This window comes from Homo sapiens, chromosome 2 (genome assembly GCF_000001405.40).
Source record: "Homo sapiens chromosome 2, GRCh38.p14 Primary Assembly".
Taxonomy (NCBI): Eukaryota; Metazoa; Chordata; class Mammalia; order Primates; family Hominidae; genus Homo; species Homo sapiens.
In genome coordinates, this window is record NC_000002.12 from 137,615,928 (window position 1) to 137,639,587 (window position 23,660).

The following is a 23,660-nucleotide window of genomic DNA, read 5'->3' on the forward strand; positions in this document are numbered from 1 at the left end:
TTAATTATATACGGGAGATAGAAATGTAGCCTTCAAGGTAACACAGGAAAAACAAAAGAGTTGTCAGGTGGAGAAAAAGAATTTATAATCATTCACAGAATGGTTTCATTTTCTAAGTAATATGTTTAACCCTCTAGATAATCTATTCCCTATATTGTTACATATGTGCCTACTTATACCTGTATATCTTATATAATTTATCAAATAACTTGCCCACAGTCAACTTTTCCTACTCTGATTTTAATAGTCATGCGATCCCCACACAATGCAGAGAAGAACTCGCCACCTGCTAAGACCATCACTGAACTCAAGGACTTGTGCTGAAGACTCACAGGTGCAGCCTTGCCTCCTGAATGAAAATTGCTTCCAGTTCCAGTACAATCTAACAGGTACAGTTAAAATCTATGACCTTGTCGTTCTCCCTGAACATTGACTAATGAGAGAATTTTTGCGTGGGTTTTCATTCTCAAGATTAAGAATGGAGAGTAGAATGTGTGAGTGTATTGCATAAAAGCCTGAGGACTTCATGTTTCTAGTATCCCCTCACAGAAAGAAATGCCCACTCTTGGCATGTAGAATCAGCAAGGCCACATAAAATTTCTGTAGTAAGAGAAGCTTAGAAAGATTTGGCAACATTTCAGCAAAATGTTGATTTAAGCCATGATAAACTGAAACAACAAAAATAAGTAGCAGAGAATAATTTACCATTGAGAGAAGAATGTAATCATACTGTGATAGAATTTGGCTCTTTTATGCCTTTTATTATTTCAGAAATCTGAGCTTGTGAGGTACTTTCTGTATGGGTCTGAATAAGAATGAATGCTACTACTGACTGGTCAGGGATGTTTTCGAGGCACACTGGGAGTTAAATCACTCTAGCTGTTCAGCCGCTGCTCAGTAATTTTCCAGGCACCACAGTGCTCAGTGTCTAAAACCAGAGGACTGGTATAGTTACATTGATCCGCTACTTGCCATTCCCTGCAGCAGCAGACATTCCATAATGCTACAAAATATGGAACCATGTTAAGTCACAGCATTGAATTCAATACTGACAACCAAACCACCACATGCCTGCAGAGGCAAAGCAATTGCCTTTTCTGAAAGAAAAAAAAAAATCCTCACCACAGCCATGTTGGCTCTGCTGAGATTCCTCTTGTGGAAAACCTCATAGTGACTTCTGTGGGGCTGTCTGATTGTCTTCGTGGGTAAAGATGACCTGGTGTATTTGTCCTTTTTCTTTAGAGAAGAGATCTCTGGTTTTTATAGTACTGTTTCAGAAATACAATAAAACTTGCTTTATTGGAAGAGCATATCTTTGAAACACTGATTTTACTATACATGGGTTTGCTATTCTATTCCTATTAAACTATTAGATCATCTACCAATATGGAAAATTTCTTTAAAGAGTTTTTATATGACCAAGGGTCTTCCTTTCTACTGACACCAAAAATAACAGTTGTTTAAAAATCAAATTAACTTTGGGATAATTTATTCTAATTCTTCACCATCTAGTTTGTAATATGACTAGCCAAATCTGTAAAACTTTTTCTCATGATAGAATAATCTGAAAAAATATAGTTTCTGTAACAGTCCATACAGTTTTGTGTGCCCTTCCCTCTTTCTTTCCCGGAGCATCTCTTTTGACTATTCTGTATCAAATGCACTAAATGGTTTAAATGATTGGATTTAGTATTGAAAATGTTTTCAAGTTTACATAAAAGATTGGTGTCTTAGTCTGTCCTGGATGCTATAACAAATTGCTATAGACTAAGTAGCTTATAAAACACATAAATGTATTTCTTATAGTTCTGGAGGCTGGAAGTCCAAAATCAAGGTGCTACTAGATTCAGTGTCTGGTGAGGAGGGCCTGTATCTCTAGACAGTGCCTTCTAGCTACATCCTCAGAGGATGGAAGGCGCAAACAAGCTCCCTTAGGCCTCCTTTATAAAGGTACTAATTTCATTCATGAGAGCTCAGCTCCCATATTCTAATTACCCCCAAATGTTCTCCCTCAAAATACCATCACCTAGAGGGTTAGGATTTAAATATATGAATTTTGCAGGGGTACACAAACATCTGGAGCATAGCAACTGGCATCATTTCTGGGTTGTTTTTTCTCCAGTTATCCTCAACAAATAGTTGATTCTAAAGTGATTTTTCTTTACCATCCTGGTTAGTATCTTTCCTCTTCTACTCCAGCCAGCCATGAGATGGTTTCTAACAAACCATTGGCTCTTTATCTCTGGAAAGCAAATTTAAGTAGGTAACTCACTTTTCTTTGTGTATTTGTTTTTTGTTCGTTTTGCAATAAGGGCATTGCATGATGATTCCCAAAGCTACCTGGAAATGATTTTAGGATTATGTGTGGATTATTCTCCACCAAAGCAGATAATCAAAGGTCTGTTGTATTTTGCTCACATGGCCATAATTTTGAAACTCAGTGTGGGTGATCCTATGCCTGTAGAGTGGAGCACATGCCAGCTGAGTGAAAACGCACCCTGTGGTCAAGGCGTCAGGACCCGCCTGCTAAGCTGTGTGTGCAGTGATGGCAAGCCAGTCAGCATGGACCAATGTGAGCAGGTACTGTGTTTATATTCATATCTCACATCCAAGGCTTTGTTTTTCTTAATATTGGTCTGCAGTTCCATGATGTCCAATATAGATAACAGACTGATTTCTTCTCATCTCAGCTTAGGTTCAGTTAGAGTAAGCGGTGCCAGTATAGTATGGTTATAGCTCACTAGTTTGAATTTAGTCAAAATGACTGGGAAAGGTCATTTTTGTAGTGGAGAAATGGGTTCATTAAAAAATATATGTTTTTATTACTTATAAAAAGTTATTTACCTGTACTTGTTTGCCAAACTGTTGACCTTGGGCGACTTTAATATTTAAATGTGATTCTTTTGTATTGGACAGGTGATTCATTTGCATATGTGATAATACTGTCCCTTGCATAGAAGACGAACATGGACACTTGCCATTACAGAATCATGTCAGTTTGCTTAAGCAGATAATATTTGGATAAATAGCAGAGATTTTTCTTTTCAACCTACATTAAAATGCATCCCTACCAAGTTTCAAATTAATGGGTTCTGAATCTTTGTAATTTTATAGCCCTCCTTTTTTTCCCTCTGTTCCAAACTATATGGAGTTCAGACAAAAGCTATAGTCAGACCTTTTCCAAAGAAGTTGGCATTTTCTTGCCAACATATAAATGAAAAACACTATGGGGGCAGTTTAGTAGAAGTAAAGATACTATCACACTTCAAGAATCACTGAAACAGTCTTTGGATAAATTGGAAAAAGGGGACCAGTTAACTCACATTTCCCCAGAAACTTCTTTAACGAACTTGCAGAATGAAAATTGGTGGCATTTCTCTTAAGAGAGGTGGAATACATCAGTGGGAATTAAAACAAAACAAACCTCTGTCACCTATCCTGACTTTGCTCTGTTTTGTCACAACACGCTCATGCTCTTTAAACCAACAGAGTAGCTGCAGACTACGTCACCAGTCCTAAGAACAGAACATCTGAAATGGATCTCCATTTGGTCAAATTCTGAAACTGACTGATACAGGGCAGAATGCTGTATACCATGATTTATTTTAACATTTATTTTATTTAATCAGCCTCTAAAGAAGTTGTCTGTTTCAGGGAAAAAAAATCATTAATCTACAACTCCCAATAGGTGAGCATTGTTTATTTAGTGTATGTAATGAGTATTTTCTTTTGATACAAAAAGATATAAACTATTCATTAATAGAAAGTCAGTTTCTCTGATTTCCAGATACCATATGCCCAATAAATATGTAAAAAATACCAGTTTAAAGCAATCTCAAATTATTAACAAAACTAGAATATCCATATATCTCAGATGGATTATAGGTCTCATTATGATAGTATCCATTTTACCCACTTGGCAAGTCATTGTACTATAATCATTAATATTAGCTTGGTAAGGATATTGCTACCATATAACACATGTTGAATGTCAAAGTTTTCCTAATAAGCACAGAAATAGTGTGTTATTCCTAGAGCAGAATTTTTTATTATTCCTTCTGTGTTTCTCAGGTGCTTTATTCTTTCACTAGGATCTCTGCTACCTTGGCCATTAGAAAATTTGTATGGTTTGCCAAGATGCTGGTTTCAGAGAGGACAAGAAAAAAAATAAACGGTATCATCAACTTGACCCATCGTTACGACCATGATTGTTTTTAGCCCAGGCTTTTTTATACACTTTAGATGGGTTGCTGATTGTATTTTTATCTCCACATTATTTATTTTCTAGCCTAGCTGGCTTTCTGTGTTGGCCCTCCATGTACTTTTGGCCTATTCAGAAGCACAAAGTGCCTGAAGTTGGCGTTGAAGTGTCTTTCTGGTTCCTTGCTGATTGAGCAACAGGACAGATCTCTGTGTAATCAGACGCCTCTGCTTTCCTGGCAGCCTAATAGAGTTTAGGATTTTATAAAAAGAAATTTTGGCTGACAAATTTTTATTTGGTAATTAAAGGACAATCATTTTCTATGATTGTCACCAATTTATATAAGAAAGGATATACTTCCCCACTGAAATATGGAAAGGTTATTATCACAGAGTAAAGGAAAGTCTTTCCCATGAAAGGACAGTGATTTGACTAAAGAGTGATTTCTCCAATAAAGTTGTGTTTCATTTCCATTTGCAGCATAATTTGGAGAAGCCCCAGAGAATGAGCATTCCCTGCTTGGTGGAATGCGTGGTCAACTGTCAGCTCTCAGGGTGGACGGCTTGGACAGAGTGTTCACAGACCTGTGGCCATGGAGGTATTGGTTTCCCCATATTTCCCACTAACTAGTGTAGGTTTCTAAATATCATTCAGTATGCCATAGCTTGATAAATGGCATAAGGTATGGGACCCAGCTGAAGTCAATATGAAACTGACCCACAGGGGAAGAAAAACAGAGCCTGGCCTCATATCAGTCCAGGAGAGTGAGGCAGAGGTTGCAGAATGGACCAGATAACAGTGGCAGACTCCAGAGAGGCTGATGAAACTGTGGGACAATGTTTATTCAGAAGATCATAAGCTCAACAAATTGAAAAAACATGTTGGCCTCAGTGGTTTTTGGAAAAAGTAGTATGTAAAGCTGTCTACTATACCACATAAACCCCCAAAGCACACCCTAGGCTGAGCATAATAGATTAGAGGCTTGCTTTTCACCCACATAAAGAGAGGGCTTTATGCTTCAAAATGTAAATCAAGGACACAAGTTCACAGAGGTTCTGCCACTTTAACAGGACCAAGTTACTCTGGATGGTGATATCACTTGGCTCTGTGGAGGTTTTATGAACTGGGTTGGAAGCAGCATACATCTCTTACATATATATTAGACAAAATTGCTCTATGTTTCCAACTCATTGGAAGATGGCAGGGAAGGAAATGTACTTTCTGGGTAGTCAGTCACATCTCAGCAATAATGTTACATTATCACATAATGTTGTAAAGGAAAGGTAGTATAAATCTTTGGGAAGAAACGGAAATCATTACTACACGATCCCAGAATCCCAGTGGATAAGTAATGCACCATGGCAAGGAATGCAGAAGGCAATTGATACTCAGTAGTGAGGCAGGTAAATGAAAACAGAGGTGGCATTCCAGTCATTAGGCTGAAGTAGGGATCAAGACATGGGCCCATGGGAGAGAAAGCAACAAGACCATAGCATAAAACAGAGCTGGCTTAGAACAGAACTCTGGTCCTAAAGTAGAGTTGCAATATATCATAAGGTAGATGTCAAAAATTTGGAGTAAGGACCTAGGGAGAAATCCTGGTACACTGTTAGTACATCTTAGTGCATTTTGTGCTGCTATAATAGAACACCTGAGGCTGGTTAATTTATGAAGAAAATTGGTTTATTTGGCTCATGATTCTTGTGGCTAGAAGGTTCAAGATTAGGCAGCTGCATCTGGTGAAAGCCTCAGGCTGTGTCAACTAATGGCAGAAAGCAGAGGAGAGAAGGTGTTCGTAAAGAGATCACATCGTGAAAGAGGAAGCAAGAGAGAGAAACTGAGGAAGCAAGAGAGAAATAATGCTGTGTTGCAGGAATGAATCTATCCCTGCACGAGTGAGAACTCACTCGCCCCCAGGGAGGGCATTAATCCATTCATGGGGGATCAGCACTTATGACCCACACACCACCCCATAGACCTCATCGTCCAAGACCATCACAAAGGGGATCAAATTTTAATCTCAGTTTTGCTGGGAACAAACCAAATCCAAACCATAGCATTCCACAGGTGAATCTAAAAACTCATGTTCCTCTCACATGCAAAATACAATCATTCCATCCAATAATCCTAAGTCTTAACTTGTTTCAGTAACAACTTAGAAGCCCAAAATCCAGAGTCTCATCTGAGACTCAAGGTAAGTTCTTCCAGCTTTGAGCCTGCAAAAACAAAACAAAACAAAACAAAAAACAAGTTATTTGCTTCCAAGATACAGTGGTGGTATAGACATTTGTAAACATTCCTATTCCAAAATAGGAAAGCTAGCAGAAGGCAAAAAATAACTAAGATCAGAGCAGAAGTGAAGGAGATAGAGACACAAAGAAAACCCTTCAAAAAAATCAATGAATCCAGGAGCTTGTTTTTTGAAAAGATCAACAAAATTGATAGACAGCTGGCAAGACTAATAAAGAAGAAAAGAGATAAGAATCAAATTGCCACAATAAAAAATGATAACAGGGATATCACCACCGATCCCACAGAAATACAAACTACCATCAGAGAATACTATAAACACCTCTATGCAAATAAACTAGAAAATCTAGAAGAAATGGATAAATTCCTGGATACATACACCCTCCCAAAACTAAAACAGGAAGAAGTTGAATCCCTGAATGGACCAATAACAGGCTCTGAAATTGAGGCAATAATTAATAGACTACCAACCAAAAAAAGTCCAGGACCAGATGGATTCACAGCCGATTCTACCAGAGATACAAAGAGGAGCTGGTACCATTCCTTCTGAAACTATTCCAATCAATAGAAAAAGAGGAAATCCTCCCTAACTCATTTTATGAGGCCAGCATCATCCTGATACCAAAGCCTGGCAGAGACACAACAAAAAAAGAGAATTTTAGACCAATATCCTTGATGAACATCGATGCAAAAATCCTCAATAAAATACTGGCAAACCGAATCCAGCAGCACATCAAAAAGCTTACCTACCACGATCAAGTGGACTTCATCCCTGGGATGCAAGGCCGGTTCAACATATGCGAATCAATAAACATAATTCATCATATAAATAGAACCAAAGACAAAAACCACATGATTATCTCAACAGAGGCAGAAAAGGCCTTTGACAAAATTCAACAGTCCTTCATGCTAAAAACTCTCAATAAACTAGGTATTGATGGGACATATCTCAAAATAATAAGAGCTATTTATGACAAAGTCACAGCCAATATCATACTGAATGGGCAAAAACTGGAAGCATTCCCTTTGAAAACTGGCACAAGACACAGATGCCCTCTCTCACCACTCCTATTCAACATAGTGTTGGAAGTTCTGGCCAGGGCAATTAGGCAGGAGAAAGAAATAAAGGGTATTCAATTAGGAAAAGAGGAAGTCAAATTGTCCCTGTTTGCAGATGACATGATTGTATATTGAGAAAACCCCATCATCTCAGCCCAAAATCTCCTTAAGCTGATAAGCAACTTCAGCAAAATCTCAGGATACAAAATCAATGTGCAAAAATCACAAGCATTCCTATACAGCAATAACAGACAAACAGAGAGCCAAATCATGAGTGAACTCCCATTCACAATTGCTTCAAAGAGAATAAAATACCTAGGAATCCAACTTACAAGGGATGTGAAGGACCTCTTCAAGGAGAATTACAAACCACTGCTCAGTGAAATAAAAGAGATACAAACAAATGGAAGAACATTCCATGCTAATGTGTAGGAAGAATCAATATCGTGAAAATGGCCATACTGCCCAAGGTAATTTATAGATTCAATGCCATCCCTATCAAGCTACCAACGACTTTCTTCACAGAATTGGAAAAAACTACTTTAAAGTTCGTATGGAACCAAAAAAGAGCCCACATTGCCAAGACAATCCTAAGCCAAAGAACAAAGCTGTAGGCTTCATGCTACCTGACTTCAAACTATACTACAAGGCTACAGTAACCAAAACAGCATGGTACTGGTACCAAAACAGAGATATAGACCAATGGAACACAACAGAGCCCTCAGAAATAATACCACACATCTACAACCATCTGATCTTTGACAAACCTGACAAAAACAAGAAATGGGAAAAGGATTCCCTATTTAATAACTGCTGCTGGGAAAACTGGCCAGCCAGATGTAGAAAGCTGAAACTGGATCCCTTCCTTACACCTTATACAAAAATCAATTCAAGATGGATTAAAGACTTAAATGTTAGACCTAAAACCATAAAAACCCTAGAAGAAAACCTAGGCAATACCATTCAGGACATAGGCATGGGGAAGGACTTCATGTCTAAATCACCAAAAACAATGGCAACAAAAGTCAAAATAGACAAATGGGATCTAATTAAAGAGCTACTGCACAGCAAAAGAAACTACCATCAGAGTGAACAGGCAACCTACAGAATGGGAGAAAATTTTCACAGTCTACCCATCCGACAAAGGGCTAATATCCAGAATCTACAAAGAACTTAAACAAATTTACAAGAAAAAAATCAAACAACCTCATCAACAAGTGGGTGAAGGATATGAACAGACACTTCTCAAAAGAAGATATTTATGCAGCCAACAGACACATGAAAAAATGCTCATCATCACTGGTCATCAGAGAAATGCAAATCAAAACCACAATGAGATACCATCTCACACCAGTTAGAATGGTGATCATTAAAAAGTCAGGAAACAACAGGTGCTGGAGAGGATGTGGAGAAATAGGAACACTTTTACACTGTTGGTGGGACTGTAAACGAGTTCAACCATTGTGGAAGACAGTGTGGTGATCCCTCAAGGATCTAGAACTAGAAATACCATTTGACCCAGCGATCCCATTACTGGGTATATACCCAAAGGATTATAAATCATGCTGCTATAAAGACACATGCACATGTATGTTTATTGTGGCACTATTCACAATAGCAAAGACTTGGAACCAACCCAAATGTCCATCAATGATAGACTGGATTAAGAAAATGTGGCACATATACACCATGGAATACTATGCAGCCATAAAAAATGATGAGTTCATGTCCTTTTTAGGATTATGGATGAAGCTGGAAACCATCATGCTGAGCAAACTATCACAAGGTCAGAAAACCAAAGACTGCATGTTCTCACTCACAGGTGGGAATTGAACAATGAAAACACTTGGACACAGGGTGGGGAACATCACACACTGGGACCTGTCATGGGGTGGGGGGAGGGGGGAGGGATAACATTAGGGGAAATACCTAGTGTAAACAACGAGTTAATGGGTGCAGCACACCAACATGACACATGTATACCTATGTAACAAACCTGCACGTTGTGCACATGTGCCCTAGAACTTGAAGTATAATTAAAAAAAAAAATAGAAAAATAGGCCTGAATAAATAAATGACAGGGCCCAGGAAAGTACAAAACATAGCAGGACAGGCATGAAATGTTAAATTTCTGGAACATATTCATTTGACTTCATGTCCTGGGCATACTGGTGCAAGAGATGGGCTCCCAAGGCCTTGGGCAACCCCACCTCTATGGCTTTGCTGAGTGCAGCTCATGTGGCTGCTCTCACCAGTTGGGAGTTGAATGCCTATGGCTTTTTCAGGTGGGCATTGCACACTGCCAATGGCTCTACAGTCTGGGGTTCCCAAGGCAGCCCTGCTTCCAGGGATCTACTAGGCTTTGCCACGGTGGAAACTCTGTGGCAGCTCCACTCCTGTGGCATATTTCTGTCTGAGTCCCAAGCTTTCTGACACATCCTCTGAAAGCTAGGTGAAAGCCAACATACCTTCATTGTTCTCCCATTACAAAATTAGTAATATGGATGTGGATGCCCCTAAAGCTTATAGCTTAGACTCTCCAGAGTGACAGCATGGTTACATCTAGGGCAGATTGAGCCATGGCTGCTCCAGCAGGAATCACTGGGATGTGGGTAGCAGATCTCTGAGGCAACACAGGGCAGTGGTGCTCCAGTCATGTCCCCTGAAACCATTCTTTCCTTCTAGACTTCTGGGCCTCTGATAGGAAGTGTTGGCTGTGAAGATCTTTAAAATGCCTTTAGGGGGCCAGGCGCGGTGGCTCACGCCTGTAACCCCAGCACTTTGGGAGGCCGAGGCGGGCGGATCACGAGGTCAGGAGATCGAGACCATCATGGCTAACACGGTGAAACCCCGTCTCTACCAAAAATACAAAAAAATTTAGCCAGGTGCCGTGGCGGGCGCCTGTAGTCCCAGCTACTCAGGAGGCTGAGGCAGGAGAATGGCGTGAACCCCGGAGGCGGAGCTTGCAGTGAGCCAAGATAGCGCCACTGCAGTAGCGCCTGGGCAAAAGAGCGAGACTCTGTCTCAAAAAAAAAAAAAAAAAGAAAAAGAAAAAGAAAATGCCTTCAGGGCTTTTTTTCCATTGTTCTCACCATTACCACCTGGCTCTCTTTTAGCCATGCTACTCTTTTTAGCAAAGGGTCTCTTGGCAGTATTCTTATATTCCTTTCCTGAAGATACTGTTTCATTCTCTACCAAATGGCCATGCTAAAAATTTTCCAAATCTTTCCACTCAGCTTCCCTTTTCTCTAGCTGTTTACCATAAGCAGTTAGAAGCAGCAGCAGCCTGAGCTTTGCTGCTTAGAAATTTTGTCCACCAGGTATGCTATTCTTTTAAGTTCTATATTCCACAAAGCTGTAGGGGCATGGCCACAATGCAACCAAGTTGCTTGCTATGGTGTAACAAGGATAGTGTTTTATCCAGTTCCCAGTAAGTTTCTTATTTCCAACAATTCACTCCTGAGTACCAATTTTCTGTGTTAGTCCATTTTGAATTGCTATAACAGAATACCTAAGACTGTGTAATTTATAAAGACAAGAGGTTTATTTGACTAATGATTCTGGTGCCTGGAAAGTTCAAGATTGGGCAGCTGCATCTGGTGGGGGTCTCAGGCTGCTTCAACTCATGACAGAAAGCGGAAGGGGAGCAGGCATGTGCAAAACAGTCACATGGTGAGAAAGAGAACAAGAGCAAGAAGCCAAGAAAGCCACACACTTTTTAACAACCCTGTCTTGCAAGAGCTAATCCATTCCTGCAAGAGTGAGAACTCACTCTCCCCCAAGGGAGGGCATTAATTTATTAACGAGGAATCCTCACCTATGACCCAAATACCTCCCACTAGTCCTTACCTCCCAACCCCACTGCAAAGGAGATCAAATGTTGACATGCCTTTTGGTGGGCACAAACCACATCCAAACCATAGCAGGCAAATTAAACAGGGGAGGAGATGGGAAGAACTGCAGTTTGGAGAAATCATCATTGGGAAGGGAGGATGGGATACCAGGACCTGGATCTGATTGTCAACCAAAGAGATTTGAAAGCAGTTTTCTAGAAGTCCTGATATTGGACCACTGGCAATAAGTTATGGACTCATCTATAAGCTACTCACAAATGTATGTGCTGATGTTGTTGATAATTATCTTCTTTAGTTGGGATTGTGTGAGAAACCAGGCATGACTCACAATTAAAAAGGTGCTCATCTGTGAACTCAACTGTAAGGTCCTAGAGAGGGCAGAGCCAAAAACTGTAGCCAGGGTACATATTAGGAAAATGTGACTAAGAAAAATTGACAACTACTTCCACAAAGAATGTCACTCATAATGAAAACATGGGAATTGCAATGTCCAACAATAATATGTAATTTCTTGCACAAATGAGAGCAAAGAGCCTGTAGAAATGAAATGGCAGGTCTTAGGACCAAGATTTCAGTGATTAACCAATAGTTTGTCAATTGTTTTAAGAGGCAGTCAGGCATGGTTTCCACTGGGGCATCCACTTTAAAGTTGTGTAAATCTAACTTCAAATGTAGCTGTTTAAGCAATTAGCTGAATCTTTCTGAATGTCCAAATTCTTTATCTATAAATTGGAATTTTGCACATGTTAGCGGTTTAGTTTTTGTTTTGAGAATTAAATGAAATTAAGTATTTGAAGACACCTGGCATAGTAACAGACACATCATGAGTGTTTAGTATATGTGAATTTTCTCCTCCACGTTCCTCTACCTGTCTGTAGAAGAGAGGATTATTGGAGACTCCGTAGGATCTTTTAAAAATTATTCCATAGATGCAGTCACCCTAATCTCCCAATTTTATATCTCATCCTTTTACTCCTCTCCAAATTCTACACACTATACTCATAGCCTATATGATGTTCTAAAAATGAATATCTGATCAAGTGTTTTTATATTGACATATAAGTCATTCATCTATTTTTTAATCCATAAACAAATACATACATGTCAGTTATAGTCTTATGTACTTAGAATTCAGCACTGGGGGAAAAAAGGCAATTTCCCTATTTTTATGGAGCTTAAAATCTAGTTTAGGGACAACAGAGAGTAAACTAACAAGTAATAATGCCCATTGATGAATCCACAAAAGACATACAAATGAGAGGTGTTATTTGCGTCAGTGATGTCTTTCATTGAAACAGTTGGTTGCGCCTCTGTCCAGAAAAGACCCACTCTGGATATCCCACTGCCATAAGCACTACAGTGTTGTCCTCAAGGGCCACTGCTGGGATGTTTGTTTCTCTCAGTAATAAAGGAGAGCATGGAAAAGGCAAGAAAGAATAAAGTCCTGTATTGTGAACATGGCCCACAGGAATCTTCAGGATCTCACCTGTGCTGCCCCACTGTCTCCATCACCTTGTACTGCCCCACTGTCTCCATCACCTTGTACTGCCCTGCCAGCTCTGTCAGTTCCAACATACTACATTTCAATCACACCCTTGATCAAATTATGCTGCTTCTCACCTTGGCACTTTTCCTTACATGGAACCTCTCACCATCATCCCCATGACTGCCTCCTACGATTTTTATCATGCATGAATTGAATCCATTTTCATGTCTGTCTTTCTAAGGGGCCAGTGACCCTGTTTGTATTCTTTGTGGGTGAATCTTCACAGTTGAAACACAGTTATTGGCACACTGAAAGAATTTTATTATTGTCATTGCCTAGATGGTTCTGGACCATAAAAAGAAAGTTGAAAGGGGAAGAGCTTGCATGCTAGATTGCAAGCCCAAAGGCAGCCAATCCCAAGAAACAGTGGCTGTTTCTTCTCCTTTGCCTGAATACCTACATTCTTAGGTCTCATTATCCAAGATTGTGTTCAATGCAAGGAGACAAGAAATCTGTTTATTATTATTTTTGTCTGAAAGTCCTAATTCTGCCACTGTACCAAGTCACTGAAACATGACAGATCTCCGTGTTATTCCAACATACCACCTTTATGAATAAGACCCCAAATCATAAGTTTAGTATTAAAAGATCACTTAAAAATTGTAAGCAGTTCTGTTAGTGCTGTGGACTCATCAGACCCTGTTGTCTACTAGACCCTGTTTGTCTACAAACAACAAAAACCCATGCAAATTTCAATCCTACTATTCAGGAGTTCTAGGCAACTATAGTCTGAGCTAAAATTCACCTTTCTCCAATCCTTAGAATAATAAACAAAGACAAAAACAAAACACAGATTTCACAAGAAAAGTCCTTGTGTGAACCAAGGCACAGAAGGACTAGGGAAGGAATGTTAACTACTTGGAGAAATGAAGTTGCATAAAGTACTTGGAAATCATCTAGATAGTGTCTATTGGCATATAAGTATGGCATCAGTTACACATCACTTCTGGCTAGTTTCTAAGGGTCTAGTAGGATAATATTTGGGGCAGGATGGTGCCATAGCTCTTGTGACTAATGTTTTCTTTACTAGGCTGCTCAGTGTTCAATCTCACAAGCATTTTTTGACTAACTGTTCTATTTAAGGTCCCATGTTAAGACCTTCAGACAAAAATATAAAGATGAGTATTTTCTACTTGCATTTATTTGCGCCCAACTTCAATTTTTTTTTTTTCGCGATACAGAATCTTGCTCTGTTGCCCAGGCTGAAATGTAATGGCACAATCTTGGCTCACTGCACCCTCTGCCTCCTGGGCTCAAGCAGTCCTCCCTCTTCAGCCTCCCAAGTAGCTGGGACTACAGGCACATGCCACCACACCTGATTAAATTTTCTATTTTTTGTAGAAACTGGGTTATGCCATGTTACCCAGGCTGGTCTTGAACTCCTGAGCTCAAGCAATCTGCCTGCCTCGGCCCCCCAAAGTGCTGGGGTTATAGGCATAAGCCACCCCACCCAGCCCCAATCTCAAACTTTAAAAACAGAATTGAGTGGTACAAAGAGGAATAGGATACATGGCCCTTGAATTTTTAAGCACCTACCCTCAAGACTGTGCCAAGGCAGCCTCTGTGGGTGTATCATGTTATTCCCCACCATCCCCAAACTTCTTCCCCATTCTAGCCTTCCTGCTCCAGTCTGTTGGCACCACACTTCCCTAACCATCACACCTGTGGTAGATAGTAATATTATTAAAATAAGATAATTCTGTATTTAAATCATGCTTGAATCCTCATACAGCACAACCTGAAAAACAAACAGTAAATGAATAGCAGTAATCAGAAGCAGGAATGTATGGTATAGATGAACTTGTTTCTTAAGAGACCAAATTGTGGAGCTGCAAAGGTTGGAGACTATCATTAGGAAACATCAGCAGCTCGCCTGTTCTAAGACAAAGTGCCAGCAGCTGTCTTTTGTAGGAGCCGCTTTCTCTTTTCGAACGGGTTGTAGCAATAGGCAGAGACCACAGGAAGAGGTAGAGTTTATTTAGTCACATTAAAGTGGGCATGCGAGTTACCTGGGAGTCAAACTTCAGCAGCTGCAGTTCTCAGCTGATGTCTTTATCAAAAACAAAAGTTCGCACAATTATCTTTTTTTCTGCATTCGCTGAGTTATTGGGCAAAACCTGGTGTGCTAGATGTCCCTGATGCTTCCCCATGAGCCACACTTCGTCTTCAAACCCACAGAACTACAACGATCTGAGGGGAAGTTTTGAAATGAGCTCTTACTTTATCTTCCAAGTGTCTGGATTGCCTCTTTAATGTATACCTGATGCTTGGCATATACTTTCTAATTGTGTTAAAGATTTCAAGGTCAGAACAGTTTGAATCCAATTTATTTCAATTTAGAGAGAGACCGATTCTAAGCTTCCACTAAGGGATCTTTTTAGATAGATTTCAAAGATCAAAGCTTGTAATAGAAGAGCTTAATATTTGGATTAGTCATGTTTTTTGTCTCTTGAATTTTCATCAGTTTAGTGGGATGTAGAACTCCCTAAATTTAGCATATCATGAATTATTCATAATTATTTAACTGATAACACTCTAAGAATGTTATTAAATCCAGACTATGATTTATTTGTATTTTATATTTTTAAATTTAATGCATATGAGTTTATAATATTTTTATATCATATGACCCAGCCTACTTCTTGTGTTTCCCAGATGGCATATAATTTTCTGTCAACTCTAGCCCATAATGAGAAAATAATTTTGTATTAACTCCAAAACACAACAACAACTTTGTGACTTCCAGCTGTTTTTTCTAGGTTTCAAGGGCAAGCCAATAACTTTAATTTTTGATATCTGCATCCAATTTGATCAATGCATGGTATTCTTGATTGGGCACAGTCTGTCACAATAATTCAGACTTATTTACTGTATCAAGTAATTCGTTCTTATGGCAAAAGAACAAGAAGCTAGGTAGTGGAATGGAAGAAAAAGAATAGACAAGAAACTCGACGATCTGTGTTTTAGAGTCAGCTTTTCCATGGCAAGCTGTAGGATGTCGGACCACTCACTCATCCTGTGCAGAACTCTCTTGCACTGTTTTTATCTATAAAATGATGAAATGTTAGAGGGATTACTTTTTAATACCTGTTGGTCAAGGGTATAATTACTGATGCTAGGAGTATGTTAGTAATTATTCTCAACAGTACTATGAAGAATAGACCTAATTTTACCGATGTAATGATAGGCACTGAAGTAATCTGCCCAAGGTTACATAGTTTGTCAGTTGTGGAGGATGGATTTGAACCCAAGTTCAGGTATCTCCAAAGCCCCCATTTGTTCCACTATGATCGTGTACATCTGACACTCTGTATCACCTATTGTGTACATGGCCCTGGGTTGCATGCTATATCACTATAAAAATTATTATAATTTATAGATATATTTGAGAATAAGCAGAGAAAATGGGTCACAGGTTGGAACACAAAAGGCAGTGAAATATATTAATGCTTTAAGAAGCCCCTCTGAATTTTAAACCTTCTAAATATGTTCTTGCCTCGCAACTAATAATGTTGCATGTTATGTAGTTTATCTAATAGGGATATAGCTGCCAATCTTACAGAGAGGTAATGTGTGACTCTGATGGTTTTCTCTAAAAAGGGTGTGAAGATTAGCTCCAAGATTTGCAAATTCACTCTCTCTCACCTTCTTGCATCCCATGGAAATTGCTCATTGTGGGTATTGCTGCTGTTTATAGGTATTACAGTGGTCCCTCAAGTTGTGTTAGTTTTTAATGGAATTGAAATGTGATTGTTGAAAATAGAACTGGAGGTAAGCGGTCAGAATGCATATACATACTCTACCATTGAAAAATCTGGAGTTATTTATATCCAAGCAATGTCAAAAGTGCTTAATCTTCTGCCATAAAATGCCATAAAAGCAATGTCAAAAGTGCTTAATCTTCTGCCATAAAATACCTATCTAAGCCCCTTGACATCACGGCCTTGACTTTTAAAGTGGTGGTCTTGTTACTTCCCATGTACCTGGCAGAGATGTGATCCTGGCTTGGACTAGAGTCTGTTTTGCTCTGAAAAGCCTATAGAATGTTTATCTTGCTTAAGTTGGATCTTCTCTAGGATAAAAGGGTATCCGGAGACCTGAAGCAACTTTCATATAAGCCAAGGAATCCCTCTATAGGGGAAGCTGAGGGACTGTATCTCTGGGTGTAGAATTACTGCTGCATCAATACCACACATGTGCTAAAGAGCTGTCTTTAGTTTGCAGATCAGGACTGTAATTTTCCTCCACTCTGCTATACTGGAAAATAGCCTTGATCCCAAATCTATATCCACCAGTAATATTTAAAATAAATTTTGCACTTAAAATAAACTTGGATAAAAATTCCTGATATTTGTTAAGAGAAGTGAGAAGTACAGCTTTAACCACTTTTTAGTAGATGTCCAGCCTAAAAAGCCACATGAAATTAACTGAGCATTTTATACACAACCTGATTTTCTACTGCTTTCAGAAATTTACTGTGATGAGTACCTGAAAACAAATAAAGAATTGTCATAGGAGAAAGGTGTTAGCACAGTCACCTTAATTCCTTTTTGCTAAAGAAAATATGGAGTGTACAAATACATACAACAAATTTATTGCAAAAGGTAGATCTAAGTGCAATTCTCAAACTAGTTTGAGTGGCCTAATAACTAGAGCGTAGTATCTGATACCTAAGATATGGATTAGATGAGATCTATTGGAAAGCATATGTTTTTGGAGCAAGACAAATCTTTGTTCCAAACCTTCTACCTGTATCATTTCACAAAAAATATTTAAATTCTCTGAGCCTCAGTTTATCATATGTTAAAGGGGAATATTAATAACTATGTCCTGAACTCAGCCTGAAACCAGGGTTGATAAAGTGTTTTATGTGACTCAGAGAGTAGGGGGAGGAATTCTCAGGGGCAGGAGAGTGAAGAAAGCAGGATAAGGAAGAGAAAAAGCTAAGCAAGAACATATGATATCATTTGTATATCAAAGCACATTGTATTCCCTTAATTAATTTAGTGCCTTCCTCCATAATGAGGACTGTTTTTACAATGACAAAAGGTATCATACAATAAAATGCCTTAAACACAGAAATATATATGACTAAAATTAACTTAGATTGAACATGGCCATCTACTAATGAGGTTTTGTTAGTATTCCTTTGCTTCTTTTTCACTTATGTTGTCATCCACTAGTATTTGCTATTGTCTAACACTAGGTCACAGGTACCAAATGCTGAAGAATAAATCCATAGGGGGAAAACCCTTGAAAGTGGAACTCTTTTATTCATTAACCTGATTTTGGGGTTCTTATCAGGAAAGACCATCATTAACTTCAGTTAAGTGACATTGTACCCTATTCTGCATGGTGTTTTAGTTGGCCAACCCCTTCTAGATGTTGGTTTCTGGGTGATCATTTTCTGCCAATGATTGTGCATAAACTTTGGAAATTTAACTTATGTTCAAAAGAAGTGATGTCCAGGTGGAAAGCAAGCCAATAATAATGTCATTCATAGACATGCTGGAAGCTCAAAGTTACTTCATATACTACTACTATTGCTTTTATATATCTACAGTGCACTGGAGTTTATAGGTATATTTATGTAAATTGCTCAGATATTTTATTCAATGAACTATTTGTTTCCAGTCAATAGGAACCTTCTTCGACAATCTCTCTATTATTCTTATATTTCCTTTTCCATTATCTCTTACATATATACTTTGCCTGGGCCATATCCAAATTGGCCAGAGCTACCAAAAACATAATTTCCAGTAAATTCAATGACTATGTGTCAGGGCCACAGAAGAATTGTTGTTTACAGCATGGCTTTCTAAAGGGCATGGTGGCTGGCTACTTTGATTGGAAAGTATAGTCAGAATAGGGAATTACTGCATTTGACTTCCTTTCTTTTTCTAAGTGTATACATTGACAAATGTTTACCAGTTTTGAGATTTGTTTGAATTGCTTAAAATTTCCTACATCTACTTTGTCAGTGGAGCCTCAAGAGGGAAGTTTGACTACTGCCTAGTTCAGTAGGAATATGATCTAGTCTGATATGCTTTAAACCTGTATGCAGGCACTAGGATTGTCCTCTCTGCTTCTGTTTTTGTTTTTACAACCTGTATACCACCTCACTGTCTATTATTTTTTCTAAAGATCTTGCCATTCAATCCTTTTTGTTTCATTGCTAGTGATTATTGCTCATATAATAATAAGCTCAATATCAATGTTGTTTATAATGAGGTCCCAGTATTCTCCAGGGAAAAAGAGGAAAAGGCTCAGAGAGGAGAATTACTAGCAAATAGCAAATTTACCCTACTATGATTTCGGTCTTTTTTCCATTGGAAACATATTTTATAGGGAGTGTCTTTCTCTGTTTTGTAAGCTGATGAGTGCACGAATAGAGAGTCAACTTCTGTTCCTTCATCTCAATGGGCATTGCTCATTCAGCATATTGTCCATATTTATGATTGAATTTAGTTCCCAATTGATACCTATTGTCATGTCTCATGCAGTTATTGAAAAACATAAACCCAAGCAAGACAAGTCTAGAGAGTTTCCAAGGAAATTCTTCCCCTCTGACTTTGAAAGCATGAGGATATGTATGGCAGCAAGCTTCACTATTACTCTGAGAACAGAAAGAGTCCAGGATACAGTGTTAAGGGATTTGATAGGTTGGGAACTGGCTGAGTAACTATGTATTTTGTAATTTCATTCATTTAATATAATAAGCCCAGTAAAATACAGCAGACACAGGTAGCATGTTTTATGTACTCATTACAGGCATGTTTCAGGGCCAGTTCTAGGAATTGATATGAGAGTATTTGTTAAAAAATAAATGTTTAAGAAGAGAAAAATAAAAGCAGTTACCATATTTAAAATATTCCGCAAGTTTCTTTTTTTTTTTTTTAAACGGAGTCACAGGCTACAGTGCAGTGGCACGATCTTGGCTCACTGCAACCTCTGCCTTCCAGGTTCAAGTGATCTTCCTGTCTCAGCCTCCGAATAGCTGAGATTATAGGTATACACTACCATATCTGCTAATTTTTGTATTTTTAGTAGAAATGGGGTTTTACCACGTTGGTCAGGCTGGTCTCGAACTCCTGACCTCAAGTGATCTGCCCGTCTTGCATCCCAAACTGCTGGGATTACAGACATGAGCTACTGTGCCCAGCCCCTTGCAAGTTGCTTTTATACAGTATTTTTTATTTGTATAACCTTTGTGACACATATCCAGGCAGTCCTCATCATCTGATATTCTTCATCTGAATCTGCATTATTGTGAATTCCATAGACAGCCAAGCCCCTCATAACATCAAAATATTCATGAACAAACATCATTTACAGAACCTTTGCCCAGTCAACAAACTTTCTCCATTAACACACATGTTCTATCATTGCAAATCAGGGGATTTGTTGGTCTATCTTTAGCTGTAAATTAAACGTGTGTCCACTACAAAGGGGATACAATATGGAGTGATCTTCACACCAAAGATTAAAGGGAGCCCTTGGAAAACTGATGATAATTGACTCAACAGCCAAAAACTTTATGTTCAAGCTGTGAAAGTCAGCTATGAAACATCAAGATCTCTTACAGCTATCATAAAATTATGTAAGAAATATCAATGACCAATTTATTATTTGTCCTAATAACAAGTGCATAATTGTAATCATAATATATATGCTAGTGGATATTAGATAAAATAAACCCACTTTCATTCTTTTAGTTTCAGAAAAAAGTCTCATTTAAATATTTTTTACTATTTATTTAAAATAATTTAATTCCCATTTAAAATAGCTTCACTTTTAAGTGGCATTTTTTTTCTAACATGAATTGTCTTCAAGTAATAAAGACTTTTTGTATTCTCAGTTTTATTTTACAGAAAATTTATGCTCAGAAGAGTTAAAGTACTTGTATGTAGTCATATCATTTACTAGTTGTTAATTGGAGAGAACTATTTCCAACTAGAAACTTTTAATGCCCATTCCAGGCCTCTCTCCACCATATATCAGGTTTATTTTTTAACTTTCTGTGTTTTTTCTATAGATATGAGGTCTTGCTATGCTGCCCAGGCTGGTCTCAAACTCTTGAACTCAAGTGATCCCCCTGCCTCAGCCTTCCAAAATGCTGGGATTACAGGCGTGAGCCACTGTGCCTGGCACATCAGCTAGTTTCAAATTCTCTTCCTCTCATGTTCCATACAACACCATAATTTTATCTTTAATATGGCCACATCCTCCACTGCTTTCTCTCTCCCATCAAAACTCATCATTGCCAAAACAATTCCTTCAGGCTCCTGCTGTTAGGATTTCTTGATAGAATAATTATTGCTGGGAGATAGCTGCTTGGTTGAATATTCCATCCTTTCTGAGATCTGGCATCCCAAGTAATATTGACCACTAACCTGGAAGGTGGCAGACCTCTTTATTGATAACATCCACATTCCATGTTATTAGATTTTTTTTATTTGAGGGATACATTTTTGGTTCTTTAACTTATACAATCTAAACATCCCTGACTTAAATAGAAAAAGAAATATAGTAAAAGATAACAATTACCCAACAGAAGCATCAGGTCCAGTAATTTTCTCTTACACTTGCATGTACTTATTAGCAATAGTTTTTGTTGAAGTTTAACACGAACCAATTAAACACAAAATACATCAAAATGCAGATTTACTATATGTTCCTTGGTTTCAAAAAATATTCTTGGAAGTCATAGGCATTGTTTGGAAATCTTCTCTTTGTGTTTGGATACCAAAAGCAAGAGAAACCATATGGCTGTGCTTCCAATGAATGGTCTTGAGACTTCATTATTTTAAAAGTAATAGCATCATTTTTTTCTTTTGCATTTATTAGATTTTCTCTACCTTTATGTCCAGCAGAACATATCTGTCACCTTAATGGAAATAAATAAAATGGTTCTATAGTATTGGCCCTCAGCATGCCATCAATTCAAAACAAGCCTGAAGTTATTTGGTTATAATGAAATAGAGTCTCTTTGGCCATGATAAAGGTGACACCACATTGTCATTATCCTTACAAATATGGATGGAACAGCCTGCAATTATAATGACATTAGGATAATAGGTGTTTCAGTCAAGAGAATAAACATTAAAGTTATTATAAAACTTGAAGAGTATTTAAGCAAAAATTAATGTGAAATCTTGTGCCAAATGTGTTCATCTGGCAGGGACAACATTTGATGTGAATGATATCTGACCTGTATGATTTGAGTGATGCTGGGAAGAACATCTGTCTAAACATATACACTCCATGCAAGAGCTCTGTGCCCAGGGTTGCAGAATAAGCCCTTGCCTGTATCATCACTGAAAGAAATTTTACCGCTGATATGGTTTGGCTGTGTCCCCAACCAAATCTCAAACTTGAATTGTATCTCCCAGAATTCCCACGTGTTGTAGGAGGGACCCAGGGTGAGGTAACTGAATCATGGGTGCCGGTCTTTCCCGTGCTATTCTTATGATAGTGAATAAGTCTCATGAGATATGATGGGTTTATCAGGGGTTTCCGCTTTTGCTTATTCCTCATTTTTCTCTTGTTACCTCCATGTAAGAAGTGCCTTTCACCTCCCACCATGATTCTGAGGCCTCCCCAGCCACGTGGAACTGTAAGTCCAATTAAACCTCGTTTTCTTCCCAGTCTTGGATATGTCTTTATCAGCAGTGTGAAAACAGATTAATAGAGTAAATTGATACCAGTACATTGGGGCACTGCTGAAAAGATACCTGAAAATGTGGAAGCGACTTTGGAACTAGGTAACAGGCAGAGGGCTCAGAAGAAGACAAGAAAATGTGGGGAAGTGTTGAACCTCCTAGAGATTCGTTGAATGGCTTCAACAAAAATGCTGATAGTGATATGAACAATAAAGTTCGGGCTGAGGTGGTCTCAGATGGAGATGAGGAACTTGTTGGGAACTGGAGGAAAGGTGACTCTTGTTATGTTTTAGCAAAGAGACTGGTGGCATTTTGCCCCTGCCCTAGAGATTTGTGAAACTTCGAACTTGAGAGAGATAATTTAGGGTACCTGGTGGAAGAAATTTCTAAGCAGCAAAGCATTCAAGATGTGACTTGGGTGCTGTTAAAAGCATTCCATTTTAGAAGAGAAACAGAGCATAAAAGTTCAGAAAAATTTGCAGCCTGACGATGCAGTATAAAAGAAAAAGCCATTTTTTTTTTTTTGAGGAGAAATTCAAGCCAGCTGCAGAAATTTGCATAAGTAGCAAGGACTCTAATGCTAATCCCCAAGACCAAGGGGAAAATGTCTCCAGGGCATGTCAGAGAACTTCACAGCAGGCCCTCCCATCACAGCCTGGAGTCCCAGCAGGAAAAGTGGTTTTGTGGGCCTCGGGACTTGGTGCCCTGTGTCCCAGCTGCTCCAGCTGTGGCTGAAAGGGGCCAACATGAAGCTCGGGCTGTGGCTTCGGAGAGTGGAAGCCCCAAGCCTTGGCAGCTTCCATGTGGTGTTGAGCCTGAGGGTGCAAAGAAGTCAAGAATTGAGGTTTGGGAACCTCTGCCTGTATTTCAGAAGATGTATGGAAACGCCTGCGTGCCCAGGCAAAAGTTTGCTGCAGGGGCAGGGCCCTCATGGAAAACCCCCTCTAGGGCAGTGCAGAAGGGAAATATGGGGTCGGAGCCCCCACACAGAGTCCCTAGTGGGGTGCTGCCTAGTGGAGCTGTGAGAAGAGGGCCATTGTTCTACATCCTCGTGAATGGTAGACCCACTGACAGCTTGCACCGTGTGC

At 38.9% G+C, this 23,660-nt stretch overlaps 1 protein-coding gene across 2 annotated transcripts in view; it reads left to right on the plus strand.

Moving 5' to 3' along the window:
* THSD7B (thrombospondin type 1 domain containing 7B) overlaps positions 1 to 23,660 on the plus strand; it is a 912,174-nt gene that overhangs the window by 850,383 nt on the left and 38,131 nt on the right. For both annotated transcript variants that reach the window (NM_001316349.2, XM_047445935.1), the window contains exons 18-20: positions 248 to 389; positions 2,465 to 2,580; positions 4,682 to 4,799. In NM_001316349.2, coding sequence (NP_001303278.1) covers positions 248 to 389; positions 2,465 to 2,580; positions 4,682 to 4,799 — 376 coding nt within the window. The remainder of the gene's footprint in view (positions 1 to 247; positions 390 to 2,464; positions 2,581 to 4,681; positions 4,800 to 23,660) is intronic.